This window comes from Homo sapiens, chromosome 15 (assembly GCF_000001405.40).
Source record: "Homo sapiens chromosome 15, GRCh38.p14 Primary Assembly".
In the NCBI taxonomy this organism is placed as follows: domain Eukaryota; kingdom Metazoa; phylum Chordata; class Mammalia; order Primates; family Hominidae; genus Homo; species Homo sapiens.
The window spans coordinates 58,283,291-58,285,675 of record NC_000015.10 but is presented as its reverse complement, the minus strand read 5'-3'; the positions used below and the strand labels follow the sequence as shown (position 1 = coordinate 58,285,675).

At 46.8% G+C, this 2,385-nt stretch overlaps 1 annotated feature.

The window, feature by feature from the left end:
• Nucleotides 567-1,766: an enhancer, noted in NCBI's record as "P300/CBP strongly-dependent group 1 enhancer chr15:58576109-58577308 (GRCh37/hg19 assembly coordinates)". NCBI's record gives its function as "activates an origin of replication core promoter dependent on BRD2, BRD4, P300/CBP, MED14 and CDK7 cofactors, with strong dependence on P300/CBP, by STARR-seq in HCT116 cells {active_cell/tissue: HCT116}" and the evidence as "EXISTENCE:reporter gene assay evidence [ECO:0000049][PMID:35650434]".

The window sequence follows — 2,385 nt, the reverse complement described above, 5'->3', positions numbered from 1 at the left end:
GGCAAGGGGACCCTGAAGAGGCTTGAAGGAGATTTTGAGAACAATCCATTTTTCATTTTGTCCAAGCCCAGGCCTCATCTGGACTCCAGCTCGTTTGTCAGGGCTGCAGAGCTGTACTCCTCTCACGCAACTCCCTGGTTGATGCTTTCTTGGTGAATGATTAGATGAGGTGTATCGATGTTTCCCTGAACCGTGTTGCTTCTGCAATCATTAACATGACCCTTTATCTCCTCTCTTGTTACCCCATCTAAGCCAGTTGTGAAAGAGATAAAGTCCCAAGCACTACATCTCAATCCTAGGTCTTCATCAGCACATGTCAGCATTGATTTATTGCAAAGGCGCCCCGCTTTCCACCCTCTCTGGGAGCTAGGCCTGGGCCACACAGGCTCCCCACATAGTCCATTCTCAGCAGCCTCTGCCTGAGGCCTGCCAGAGAGCTCCGTGGGCCGTCACCTTGACCGGCTCCTTTTCCTGCTCAAAACCTTTGCAGCTCTCCACTGACTCCAGAACAAGGTCTGCATTTCTTGCTGTGGACACCTCAGGACACCTCCAGGAGAGTCTCTCTGACTTTCCTGACATAGCTCCTATGCACCCTCCAGGAGTCAAAAAGAAAGCTTCGCAACTCCCTGAACACGCTGTTTTCCTGCACTGGTGCTTTGCTCCTGTGCCTCCTACAAAGGATGCCCTGGCTTTCCCTCTCTGCAATCTAAACGCTGTTTCTTTTCAAGTCTGGATCCATCTAGTTTCAAGTCTGGATTCATCTAGTTTAGGTATTGCTTATTAATTTCCTGCTGTGACAAATGAAGATTTAGTTAATTGCTTCACCCTGTTCTGCCACATACCCTTATTCTGTAACACTGTAATGCCAGCACCTCCATCCAGCCTTCCCCAGCCTCACCGATGTGGCTCTCCGTGACAACACGAAGGTTCATGCAGTCCTGGGAATGAGCCATGTACCCTTCTGAATGCTTTACCTGGGAGACTTCATTTCATCTTCCCAGCTAGTGAGGCAGGGACTGGTCTTAGGTGACGAAACTGAGTTTTAAAAAAGTCAGCTTGCCTAAGGATCTCGACCTAAGAGTGTTGAATTGGGATGGGCATCTGAGTGTGCCTGGGCTCATGGCCCTGGCTTTCCTGGTATGCGCCACAGCCCTTAGTGATTCATGTCACTGACTGTCGGTCCCACTGTAAAAGGCTCTGATGTCCTGGTAAGTGGGAGACTGCTCCAACTCACCTTTGCTCACCCAGCTGATTCTAGAATGGATTGGACACTGAATAAAAGAGGAAAAGGTGGGGTTCTTCTACATGGAAGGGCAGAAGCGTTTGTGACAGGGTTCCCCCTGTGGCCTGCTGGGCTGTAGGGTTTTTCCCCTCCCTCCTTCTCCCTGTGCCCAAGGACCTCCTGTCCTTCTCCACTCCATCCCCGTACCACTGTCCAGCTGCCATAGTGCTCAGGGGACCTGCAGCCTTCTTCCCACTTCTCTTCTTCCATCCAAGCTGCCTTGAACTCCTCACTTCCATGTATCTTTCCTTGTCTGGCCTCCCCTGGGTTGGAATATTTGTCTTCCCTTCTTTGACGCTGCAACTTGGAAATGAAGCCCAGCCTCAGTGCCTTAGCTGAGTGCGACCACCTCCTCTATCTCTGCTCGCCGATGCTTCTAGCACTTGCAATCAGTCCTGTGTCCAGACTCTGAATCATAGGCTGCCAGGTAATTGATCCATTCCTCCATTAGCATGTATTTATCTAGGTCTTATTATGTGTGGGGCCTGGTGGGGCAGTAATGAACGAAGAGTAATGGCCCCTGACTGCATGGGTCCCTACAGTCTAGTGTAATGGACTATAATTGGGTAGTGGGTGTCATTCTGTCTCCTCACTTAGACTTCCAATTCCTTGCTGGTAGGAACCTATTTTCTGGTTCTTTTGGGGTCTCCACACGGCTTAATACAGCACTGCACACAACATACAACCAGTAGCAACAGATAATGTATAGTGAGTTATAAAATGTTTACAGTTTAAGAAATATTTTTGACATATATGATCATATTTTTTAACTGAATCCTTAGTCTCATGGAGTGGGCAGGATATGACGGAAGAATGTGGGTTCTGAGTGGTTTAATGATATTATACTTCTTAAGATCCATATTCAATAAATGCTATTCAGCATTTATTAAGCGAGGATAGGGGAAACTGTCTTTTTAGTGTTTTTTTTTTTTTTTGTTGTTGTTGTTATTGTTTTTGTCCAGAGCAAGGGATTGACTCTTATATGATATTAGAAATGTTAATTTTTATACAACATGTACATGTTTAAAAAGAGTCCTACAGAAGGACTTAGAATGAAGGAAAACGTGTCCCTATTCTTTCTTACTCCCTGGGGTGATTAATGT